Source organism: Homo sapiens, chromosome 3 (assembly GCF_000001405.40).
Source record: "Homo sapiens chromosome 3, GRCh38.p14 Primary Assembly".
In the NCBI taxonomy this organism is placed as follows: domain Eukaryota; kingdom Metazoa; phylum Chordata; class Mammalia; order Primates; family Hominidae; genus Homo; species Homo sapiens.
In genome coordinates this window covers 186299587-186312006 of record NC_000003.12, presented here as the reverse complement: position 1 = coordinate 186312006, position 12420 = coordinate 186299587, and the positions used below count along the sequence as shown (strand labels likewise).

At 42.0% G+C, this 12420-nt stretch overlaps 1 protein-coding gene across 3 annotated transcripts in view; it reads left to right on the top strand.

The window, feature by feature from the left end:
- The window catches only part of DGKG (diacylglycerol kinase gamma), a 215034-nt gene that overhangs the window by 50228 nt on the left and 152386 nt on the right, over positions 1-12420 (top strand). For all 3 annotated transcript variants that reach the window (NM_001080745.2, NM_001080744.2, NM_001346.3), the window contains exon 3: positions 5030-5106. In NM_001080745.2, coding sequence (NP_001074214.1) covers positions 5030-5106 — 77 coding nt within the window. The remainder of the gene's footprint in view (positions 1-5029; positions 5107-12420) is intronic.

Sequence of the window (12420 nt, the reverse complement as noted above, 5' to 3'; positions counted from 1 at the left end):
GTAGCTGGGACTACAGGCGCCCGCCACCGCGCCCGGCTAATTTTTTGTATTTTTAGTAGAGACGGGGTTTCACCTTGTTAGCCAGGATGGTCTCGATCTCCTGACCTCATGATCCACCCGCCTCGGCCTCCCAAAGTGCTGGGATTACAGGCGTGAGCCACCGCGCCCGGCCTACTCTGTGTTCTTAACTAGACAACAGACTATAAACTTTGGGGTCTAGTCCTGGCAGCACAACTAATATTCTGCTGTAAACACTGAAGTCTCTGATTTGTCTGCTTGTTCAGATGGAACGCACCCCTGTCCCACACTGACAAGGCAACAAAGGTGTCTGTGTGTAGGGCCAAATTTTTCCCTTTAAAAGGCTTTGAATTTGCTCAAACACTAGGAACAGTGCTTGGTTTAGGTCCCAGAGTTCTTGGCACATAAAGTATAGAAGACAATTTTGGACTGAAAACTTCTTAGGGCACTGGTAACCTTGATCAAAGAGAAAAACTTTCTGAACACCCGATTTAGGACAGAACTGTATGTGGATAGTCCTGACAGTCTGGGTGAATGCAAAACATGCTCCTACCTTGCCAAGCAGCTGAACAAGTTGACCTGTTGGGTAGAGTTCTTTGGTGTTGTCCACTTAAACAATGGATAATGTCTGCCAAGCACAGCAATTTTAAATTTAGAAGTTATAAGCTTTTTTTTCCCTTGGCAATAAGTATTCAAGTTCAGGGGCTTTTTAGGACAGTCTTCATTTACAACAATAAAATCATGTCCTAGAATGGCAGTCCTCAACCTTGACTGTACATCTGAATTCCAGGAAGCTTTTAAATTATACTGTGTCCTGGGTTCCTCAAGAGATGCTGACTTAATTCACCTGGGGTAAGACCTGGGTTACAGTGTGTATAGAGCTCCCCAGGTGATTTCAACATGCAGGCAGGTTTGAGAGCCACTTTCATAGAGGAAGAGTCCTGGCTTCTAACTTACCAGTGTTCAAGTATCCAGTGAATCCAATAACCATGGCCTATGATTTAGAAATGTTTAAGAAGTGTGACTTACGAGCTGTCTCCTTGAAAGAATCACTTAAATTCCATAAGCCTCGGTTTCTTCTCTAAAATAAGGATAATTATTACATTAGAGGGTAGTTGTGGGGATTTAAATAAAATATATAAGGTGACTAGGACAGCGTCTAGCATATAATAAGCACTCTACAAAATGGGAATTGTTACAAAGAGCTGTGGAAATGGCCCTATTTTCTACAGGCAGAAATGGAACAAGGTGTCCTCTGAATCTAGTGCTGGTATTATGGTAAAGGCTTTGACAAAGGAATTTTCTGTGAGGTTATACTATTGGACCCACAGATGACACCTAAAATAAGACCAAGGGATGCTATTCCCTCGTTGTTCTTTTCTGTCTTAAGATGAAACAGAATAAAGCAGCTGTCACTGAAGCAGATTAGTCATGCATAATACCTACTTACTCCTCATGGAAAAAGAAACCCAACCCAGACATCTATTAAGAAGAAAACTGTTATAAAGTATATAAGGACATCCAAGGAGAAAGTAATGTGTCCCAAATTTGAGAATTAAGTTGATTCCCTTTTTTAAAGGGTATTGATACTATAATCCTATGAAAGCCCATAAAGCAAATTGAAGTAAATGTGTGATGAGTAATCCACCTCACGGAAAGCTAGTTAGAAACCTCCTGGATTCTTGTTGTGTGTGTGTGGTTTTTTTTTTTTTTTTTTTTTTTTGAGACGGAGTCTTGCTTTGTTGCCAGGCTGGAGTGCAGTGGTGCGGTCTCGGCTCATTGCAAGCTCCGCCTCCTGGGTTCAAGTGATTCTCCTGCCTCAGCCTCCCAAGTAGCTGGGATTACAGGCACGTGCCACCACGCCCGGCTAATTTTTGTATTTTTAGTAGAGATGGGGTTTCACCATGTTAGCCAGGCTGGTCTTGAACTCCTGACCTCGTGATCCGCCCGCCTCAGCCTCCCAAAGTGCTGGGATTACAGGCGTGAGCCACCGCGCCCGGCTGTGTTTTTTTTTTCCATTTAATTTCAGGCTATTAATCAGATATTTTAAAATAAATGTCTTTTCTATTTTTTTCTTATTAAAACCTCAGTTTATTTTATGCGAACATATGATGAATTTATGTGTGTATATATATCACACATTTAAATATAAAGCAGGATTTTTAAAATAGAGCAGCAGCTCTTTAGAATCAAAGGAATTCTGCTACAGTGAATGGTGGAATATCCAAAATGAGATGAGAACATCAAAATATCATATATTCAATTGAAATTACTCCACTGGTTCTCAATCAAAATGCTAACTCTACACTCTTCTTGCAGAAGTCACACCAGGGGTACTCATGTTCTCAGATTTTTATTTTTTTTATTTAGCCATTTTGGCTGAGCTAACAACCTCCCATTAAAATAGATTCTAAAATGTAGGATTTGTTTTCCTAAATAATTAAGCTGCTTGTGGAATAACATATATGTGTGATGTTAACTGAGCTCTGGTCTCATTCTAACTTCTCTTTCATCCTGTTTCCAGAGTGGTCTTTAGAAAACAGAGAGCTGGTTATATTATTTCACCACTCAAAAAAATCTTTAACCATTTCAAATCAATGTTCTTAACTCTACATTCAAGACCCCCACAAATCTAGCCACAAATGACTCTCTGGTTCTGACTTGTCCTAAACGTTTTATGGTGCCCATCTCTGCACCGTTGCTCCCTTGGTCTCTTCCGAGAATACCCTTTCCACTTCATATCTGCCTTTATAAACCTTACCCAATTCTTTATGCCTCAGCTCAAATGCTACCTCCTTTATAGGGCAGCCTCAGTTCCCACCCCTACCCCACTTTCATCTTAATTTTTCTTCTTCCCAACTTGGTGTTTCATAGAACTTCATATCATTGTGTCACCCTTAATTACACCTTTCTTTATGTTAACAAATGTTTAGGAAGCTATAGTGAATAATGCTCAAGGGAAAAGACCATACACTTTTGAGCCAGACTAGACCTGAGTTACAACCCTGGCTCTTGAGCAAGTCGAATTAATTTTTCTGAATTTCAGCTTCTTCATCTGTAAACTGAAGAAAATACTTGCATGGATTAGTAGAGGAGAGTTTATGAGACTATGCAGGTGAAGGTCTCCAGTAAGGGACAGCTATTAGTACCACAGTTATTTAGATCATCTTTCCCACTAGTCCATTAACAGTATCTTGCCGCATCTTACCCTCCTTAGTGTTTTCTGAATTGAATGGAAGCAGCCCAAATTGACAGCATCTGCTGCCTGGCTCTTACTGAGCTATTAGTTTTTCAACATCTGTTTTGAATTTCAGAAAGAAATTTCCATTTTTAGGCAACAGAAGCATTTTCCTGTTGTATTTCAATATGTCTCAATCCTGAAATGATTAGAACTTCTGCTTGATTGAATCCAAGTCAGCAAAGCCATGGAGAACAGCCCAGCCCACGAATATGTCTACTTTACCTAGGCTTAAGAGACATTAACCCTCTGTACAAAGAGCCTGGGCAACAAAAAACACTGTGTGAGCTTTTAATAACATCGTCCTTTGGCTCAGATGTTTAAATAGCAACAATAATGGAGCTTGGAAAGCTCTTAATTACCCACAATATTGGAAGAGAGGGATAGCCAAGGTCAGAGAAACCCTGGTTTGCTTTGATGTCTAGAGTGCTGATAGCTGCACAAGATGCATTCATAATGTGTTTTTAATAACAATTATTGAGTCTCTTTTCTGGATTCCCAATTCCTTTATAAAATTCCAAAAAGAAGCAGCCAGTCTTGCCTCCAGTTGCTTCTGAATGATTTCCTATGGAAAGCAGCATTTTCGAAAACACCATGTTTGATGAATTATCTGAGTCTTTCTTTATCCCCTTCCAAAGTAAATGCAACATAGAGGGAACATTAAGGGGAAATCATGGCGGGGGGTGGAGGCCTCAACTTTCAGAGGAAAATCTTCTGGCTGTCAGAAATATGTGAGAAATACCATGGGAACATAAAATCAACCATGCTAATTATGAGACATAATTGAGGTTATGTTTTATGTGTCAGAATGAGTAGCTCAATTTTATCCATCAAGATAAAAAATAAAAATCAGGTAAAAAAAAAAAAAAGGGACAGAGTTGTCAAGATTCCAGAAGTAGAAGAAACTATCTTGCCATAGTGTACAACAGTGTTTCAGCACCAAGGACAGAGCCTTATGGGGTTTAATGCCCACTCATCCTACATACTTAATGAATTTTTAATGTTTTGAAATTTTCACTCAGATGTTTATATACTCATCTACATATTGTTTTTCTGAGCCCTAGTTACACGTCAGACCTTAGTATGATAGACAAAGACTCACCAGCCAGTTAACAGCTCTCAAGGTAAAGCTGAAGCAGGAGATGAGCAAGATAGGCAAGTTAATAAATAATTATAACACTATATGACAAGCACTATTACATAGTTGTGTACAAGTCACGTGGGAGCCAATGAAGGGAATGCTTAACTCTGACTGGTGCAAAGGAAGACTTTACAAAGGAGTTGACATTTGAGCTGGATCTTGAAGAATGAGTGAAATTTGCAAGACAGAGAAGAAACATCATGAGAGAGTGCACAATATGTTCAGGGATGTCTGGAAATGTAACTTGATATGGCTGAAACGTAGAGTAAATAGGGAAATGAGGAATAGGATAAATAAAATCACCAAGGGCTGGTATTCCAAGTTAAGGGCTTATCTTCTAAGCTAAGAATGGTAAGCTTTATCCTGGGGGAACAGAAAGCCCTTGAATGGTTTTGAGTAGGGATATGATCTGATCAGATTTGTGTTTCAGAAAGATAATTTAGATGCAGGGGGGAAGTCAGATGGAAAAGAAGAAGTGAGAGGACAAAGGGTAGAAGAGGGTGACATTTCTCCAGATTTTCTGGGACTGAGGGGCAGCTCCAACATAAACATGGTTACACAGGGAGAATTTACTTGGCCCAGCTTCCATTAGCTATTTGCCAGTGTTTCACATGTGAATTGTGTCTCTTCAGATTCCTCCAAGAAGATAAAAGATGCCTTGACTGAATTTAATGAGGGTGGGAGCCTCAAACAATATGACCCACATGAGGTAAGAACATTTCCATTTTAAGCCTTTAAAAACCCCTGTGTTTTTTAGCCTTTCCATAATTTGTTTCCCTCTTGGAGACTCCGCTTGCCTTGAAGAACTTGCTCCTCAGCATGTTTCCTCTTAAGTCTCAAGTGAGCCATTTGTGCTACCTGGCATTATATGTTTCCCAAGCCCATACACTCATTCCACTGTCCTAGAAGACTACCACTACTTCTCCTCTGCTCATCTCTCACCCCTCCTCTCCTCATCCTCAGTTAACAACTGAGTTTTCTGCTTCACTGAAAAAATAGAACAAACAGAACAGATCTTTCACAAGCTCCCTCACCCCATAGGCCCACCTATCTGTACCTTTTCTTCTATAACCAGAGATGACCTCTCCATGCTCCTATCTACGTCCAACTCCCCCACGTGTGCACTCAACCCCATCCTCTTTTGGCCTACTTACAGGCATTGCTTCAGCAACATATCTTCCCCAGACTCCCTCTTTCCCTCCCTCCTCGTCCCTCCTTTTCTCTATATCTCTACCTCTGTCTCCTTCATATCAGCTTTCTTCGTATATTTTATTTTTCCATCAACATGTAAACATCCTGTTATTTCTTCTATATTAAAAACATTTTCCTGACTCCACTTCCTCCTCTAGGTACCACCTCATTTCCCTCCTGTGTTTTACAGCGAAACTGTACAAAATACTTCTCTATACTCATTGCCTCCAAATTCTCTTTTTCCTACTTTCTTGAAATGCCTTGCATCAGTCTATAACCTTCACTCTTCCACTCAAATCACTAGTCAAGATAGCCAAGGGCCTCCCTATGGCTAAATCCAATAGCAATTTTGCTCAACAACACTGGACACGGTTGGTCAAGTCATCCTCCATTTTCTTCACTACATTCTACATTCTCCTGATTTCTTCTTATCCTTCTACTTGACATTTACACTTAAAAATCAAATGGGCATCTCAAACTTAACATGAGCTAAACTGATGTGTCCTTAATCTTCCCCTATAAAGCCTGTTTTTCCAGCAGTCTACTCCATTTCAGTAAATGACAACTCTACCCTTCAAGTTATTCAACCTGAAACTATGCAGTCATCATCAACTTCTGTCCTCTCACATCCCACATCCAATTCATTGGCAAATTCTGTTAGATCTACCTTCAAAATGTATCCAAAATATAGACACATCTCGCCACTTGCACTGCTAGCATCCCGACCTGAGTCATCACCATATTTTGCCCAGATTATTGCAAGAGTCTCCTAACTCATCTCCCTGCTTCTGCCCTTGCTGCTTCAGTCTATTCTTCACACACATCCTGAGCAATCCGTTAAAACTTATGTCAGAGCTTGTCACTGCTCTACTCCACAATCTCCCATGGTTCCCCCAATCCCTACTCAGAGTAAACATGAAGGTCATTACAAGCTGCACCTCCCCCAGCTCTCTGACCTCATCTCTTGCTACTCTCCCCATCTTCATTCCTTTTCAGCATATTAGCCTTCTTGATGCTATCAAATAAGCCAGTGTCACCGTAACCTCAGCACCATTGTGCTTGCTGTTACTGTTTCTTAAAATGTTCCTCCTCAGCACATCACATTGTCCATTATCTTACCACCTTCCAGTCTATGCTCAAGTCACCTTCTCAGTGATCATCACCTTCTTCATCTAAAACTTGAAGCCCTCTTTCTGACATTTCCTATCCCCCTGCTCTGCATTATTTTCCTCCTAAGTACTTCTCACCACCTGTCACACTATATAATTTACTTAATTAATTGTCTGTCTCTCCCACTAGCATATTTTTGTTCACTGCTGTGTCTTCAGTGCCTGGAAAAGTATCTGGCTTATAGCAGGCATTCAATAAACATTTGTGGACTGAATAAATGAATGCAAGATCTCCCCCTACTTTCAAATTCAATGACTCTAACATTTCTTGGGCTTCTATGCACTGTACTGGGCACTGTAGAAGGCATAAAAATATAGAAGCACAGTTCCTGCCCTCCAGGACTTACTTCCTACTGGCAGGGTCAGGTTTGAAAGCCATGACCCTGGAATTACATGGTCTTAAGTTAGACTTCTACCTCTGCCATCAACAAGTGGTCTTGAATAATATTTCATATCTTTGAGCCTCACTTTCCTCATCTATAAACTGTACATAACAAAAAAAGCCTCGAAGTTTGTGGATGAGTGAATTAAATGAGAGGATCTTTGCAAAGTGGCTAACATTCTACAAGCACTTAAAAATCTGTACCTATTATTATCCCTCTTCCATCCCCTTTCCCCAGAATGTTTTTAACTCAATTCCCTTTTCCCTGCTCCTGAGTCCTTTTATGAAGACTAACCACAGAAAAGTGACTGATCTGCAGGATTCACTTAGGGAGAGACTGGCCACTTTCTTATTCACGTTGTCATCCATTGAACAAAACTGAGTCAACACCTTCTCCGTTGGACACTGGAAATGAATCAACAGAGCCTGTGCCCTCAAGGTACACCTAAAAGGGGCTTTGGATAAAATACACCAGTTGCAGAGAGAATGAAGCAGGAAGAAGGTTGCCAGAACAGGGGCGAGACTGAGAATGCACCATTTCAAAGAACATTCCTGAGGAGAAACCATGCAGAGAAGATAGCAGAGCCAGCAAAGAACTCACTGCCCCACACCCCCCACCCCCAGCTCCAAAAACACGGGAACAAAGCCTGGCGGCGGCTGCTAATCAGCTTGTCCGCCCTGGGGCTGATGAGTGGGAGAGGAACAGTTTGGTCAGGGCCACTGCAGGTGTGGAGGCCACAGGAGCTTTCAGAAGCAGGGAGTCGCTTGGCTGCTATGAGCACGCAGCCGCCCTCGCCTCTGTCGGGGCTGGCCCCCACTTTTTGTAATGCCAGGCACTGCTGGGTCCCAGGGAGCTCTGTCACTCTGATTTCGTTCTCTCACACAGTGCAGCTGACTTCTAGTAGGTGTAATGTCATGGCACAGGGTTAGGGAAATAAGAAGGGTTTAATTTCTCTTGAGTTTGATGGCTTACTGCTGCTAAAATGTCTCAATGAGAAACGAGTTAGCTGTGGGAAGGGGCAGATTGCTAGCAAAGGTAGGATGGGAATAAAACTTTGCAGAGTGGCAGAGCTGCATCTGGCCGTGATGAACATGCGCTTGCCCATCAGTACCAAGTGATTCTCTGGAGAATAGAGTGGTGGCAGACAGCTAGAGAGTGGGCAAAACCCAGAAAAGCAAAAGAGGCAGGTGGCTTGGTGGCACTGTGAGCCTGGACCCAGACACCTGATCACAAAGCCCAGCTCTGCCACACGCTTTATGATCTTCAGCAAGTTATTTATGTTGTCAAAATTTGTTTTATCCCCAGAATGACAGTAACAGTTCTTCCCCACACTGCTGTCTTGAGAATGAAAGTGCCGGATGCCTGCTAAGCTCTCCATCTAGTTCTCTCTTCTTGGTCTGTGTAAGGATTAACACACTCTCTTTAAGTGTGTTGCAGCAGGAGCAAATTGCCCAGCTAATTCCTGCATAAAAGCTGCTGGGGAAAAACAGAGTTCCTTTGGCCTGAACCATGAGTGTGCCTGGGATGTTAGTCCAGGTCTCAGAGAATTGCCAGCATGCCTCATAGTGGTTGGTCATCTGGTTTGGGCATGACCCCTAGCCACTCCCTAGTTAGTCTCTCATCATGCATTTACTAAGCAGCTACTCTGTTCCTGGGCTGTGCTTTTAAAGAACTTTTGTATAACCCAGATATCACCTTGAGAGTGTGGCACATCGTTGCATGTCTTTGCCTGCTGAACATGGGATACTGGGAGGGAGTGTCAGGGAGCACTATGCCAGCTCTGGACCCTGTGACAGATATAGTAGCAGGAGCACTGGACAGGGAGTCAGGAGGTCTGGCTTCTGGTTTCACTCTGCTGCTAGCTCGCTGGGGCTCATCACTGAATTTCCTGAGCCTCGGAGGCATCAGAAGACTGAGTCCCCTCTGAGACTCTTCTGGTTTGCATGTTCTGTGCTTCTGGGTTTATTCTGTGCATCCTGTTCTCTAGGATGGGGACATGCATGGTTGGATGAGTTCCATCAGTATTATTTTCTAAGTTCTCATAACAGTTTGTCAGCTCTTTTCCTATGGCACTCGCCACTGATGACCACACATTGCAATTATTTCAATATCTTTACCTCTTATATAACACTGACTCTTTGAAGATACGGACTCATGCCTAATTCATTGGTGCCCAGCACTGTACTGTGCCCTGCACTTAAGAGGCTCAAGATATATAGATATATAGATATAGATATAGATATAGGTATATACACACACATATATACACATAAATATATGTATGTGGGTATATATATATACATATGTGTATATATATATATATATATACATATGTATATATATATATATATACACATATGTATATATATATATATATATATATATATATATATATATATATATATAGCACATTTCCCCCCTTTTTCCAATCTGTGTCTTCTTCAGCAAATTGTGAGTGGAGATACATATATCCATTCAATCTATACATAGACTGAATGGATCCCATAGTAGTTGATGACATCCAGGGACCAGGCACCAGGCTATTCCTCAGGTGCACTGATTAGGACACATCATCCATTCAAATACCTATGAAGAACCCTGTGGTAGGTGGTGTGGGGGATTCAAAGATGAAAGGAGACATTCTCACTACTTCCAGGAGCTCTGGATTGAGTAGAGGAACCAAGGTCTGTCACAAACAACTATATATCAATGCAGAGCAGCACATATGAGTGTCACAAGGCAGGAACCAAGGTGCCAAGTAGGGAAATTCAGGGACAGACGATCATAAGGCTTTCTGGAAAAAGTGGAATCCGGGTTGGGCCTTAAAGCATGACTGGAACTTGAACATGTAGAGATGGAAGCAGTTCATGCAGGGTAGAGTGCATGGAGGGTTGCTCAGGAAAGAACACAGAGGTCAGCATGGACAGAGTGCATACACGCACATGGGGAATAATAGGAGAGAATATGAGAATCATCTCAGAGCTTGAAGTAACTACAAATCTAGGTTGGAGGGGATTATTGGAGGCTATGAATACCAAAGGTCTAGGAGAGTACACAGGATGGTCCACTGGACTGTAGAACACTGCATATTAGGCCTTCTATTTACATTCATCTAATTTCCACTTGCCAATTTAGTTTTGCAAATATTTTATAATGTATAGTGTAAGAACACAGTAGTACCTCAGTTAATCTCAATTCAGTTCCATGGGCAATTAGAAACCATGGAAAGTTTTTTTCTTTGAGACGGAGTCTCGCTCTGTCACCCAGGCTGGGGTGCAGTGGTGCCATCTCGGCTCACTGCAAGCTCCGCCTCCCGGGTTCATGCCATTCTCCTGCCTCAGCCTCCCGAGTAGCTGGGACTACAGGCGCCCGCCACCACGCCCAGCTAATGGTTTGTATTTTTAGTAGAGATGGGGTTTCACCATGTTAGCCAGGATGGTCTCGATCTCCTGACCTCATGATCTGCCTGCCTCGGCCTCCCAAAGAGCTGGGATTACAGGTGTGAGCCACCGCACCCGTCACATGGAAAGTTTTTGAGAAGAGAAGCAATTTTATCAGAGTTGTGCTTTAGGAAGATCAATAGGGCAAGGATAGGCAAGATAGGTGGGAGGACCAACAGATGGACATGGGGTTAAGGAAGCCTTGGAGAGGTATTGCAATGGCCCAGGTGAGATGTATGGAACAGAAGTCAGAATCCAGGAATTTTGGTGATGGCAGCAGGGACAATGGACATAGAAAAGGTCTGGATGTGACAGATGTTGCAGAAGAACAGTGGACAGAAGGAAGGGACAAGAACTAGTCTCAGCCAACTGACAGTTCAAAGCTCAGCCTGTAATGTTGGGAGCATAATGGTGTCATTGGCATTAACAGAAATTGTGGAGTCAGGAAGAGGAGCTGGTTTTCAGGGAGCAAGCTAATTGAAGTTTAGAACTTGAAATCTTCTAGTTCAACACTCACAATTTGCTGAAGAAGAAACAGATTGGAAAAAGGGGAGAAATGCGCTTGGTCTGAGACCAGTCACGAGGTTTCCTGAATCTCATGCTGATCTTGTTTCATGATCTTTTGGCTTTGGTTTTTTACAGCATTATGTTAGACTGTTTAACTAAACTTTCTTTTTATTAGATCATTTAGTACAGTCTGCTTTCCAGAAATATTTTATTCTGATAGTTTTCATTTGATGCTAGCTGAAAGAGATTAATAGTACACTTTGGAACTGAAAACTACCTTTTAAAATACTACTTGTCAATTAAAGTGGTACAAAGAGACAATGCAAAAAAGAGCTTTAGAAATAAATTAATGAAGAACAGTGCCATATTATTCAGTCAAATCAAAGTAGAGAATGAAGAGAACCAAAACAGAACAATTCCATGGAAAATAGAGAGTTTTAAAAAGAAGAGAAGATGAAATGTTGCAGAGAGGCCAAAGATGAGACAGTCTAAAAAGAGATGATCACGTCTGTGACCTTCAACAAAGCAGTTTCAGAGGTAATGGGCTAGGATCCAATCCGAATGGGATTAAGGAGATGAGGAGGCTAATCTGGTCTGTTTGGAGAAATTTGAAAGGAAAGGGGAGAAGGATGGGCCAGTAGATCTGGTAGACAGCAATTTCTTTGGAATAGTGGACATTTAACATACTTGCAGGTAAATGAAAAGAAAATGCTGGAGATGCAATCAGAGCCAGCGAGGATGGAATCAAGGATCAAGGTGGGTGGGTTACAATTGGAGAAGAGGGGCTGGGCATGGTGCCTCACGCCAGTAATCCCAGCACTTTGGGAAGCCAAGGCAGGCAGATCACTTGAGGTCAGTAGTTCAAGACCAGCCTGGCCAACAAGGTGAAACCCCATCTCTGCTAAAAATACAAAAATAGCCGGGCATGGTGGCACGTGCCTGTAATCCCAGCTACTTGGGAGGAGGCTGAGGCGTGAGGATCACTTGAACTAAGGAGGTAGATGTTGCAGTGAGCTGAGATCGTGCCACTACACTCCAGCCTGGGTGACAGAGCAAGGCTCTATCTCAAAAAAAAAAAAAAAGAAAGAAAGAAAGAAAGAAAGAAAGAAAGAAAGAAAGAAAGAAAGAAAGAAAGAAAGAAAGAAAGAAAGAGAAAAGAAGAAAAAAAGAAAAGAGAGGAGGAAGAAAAGATTTTGTTATTGTATATTAGGAAAAAGGAGGAGGATGTGGGAGGAAGGGACATTCTGAGGCAATGAAGTTATAGAGGCAGAGAGAGACAGAAAGAGTGTGAAATAAAGAGACACAGAGACTCGGGGACAGAAAAGGAACAGAG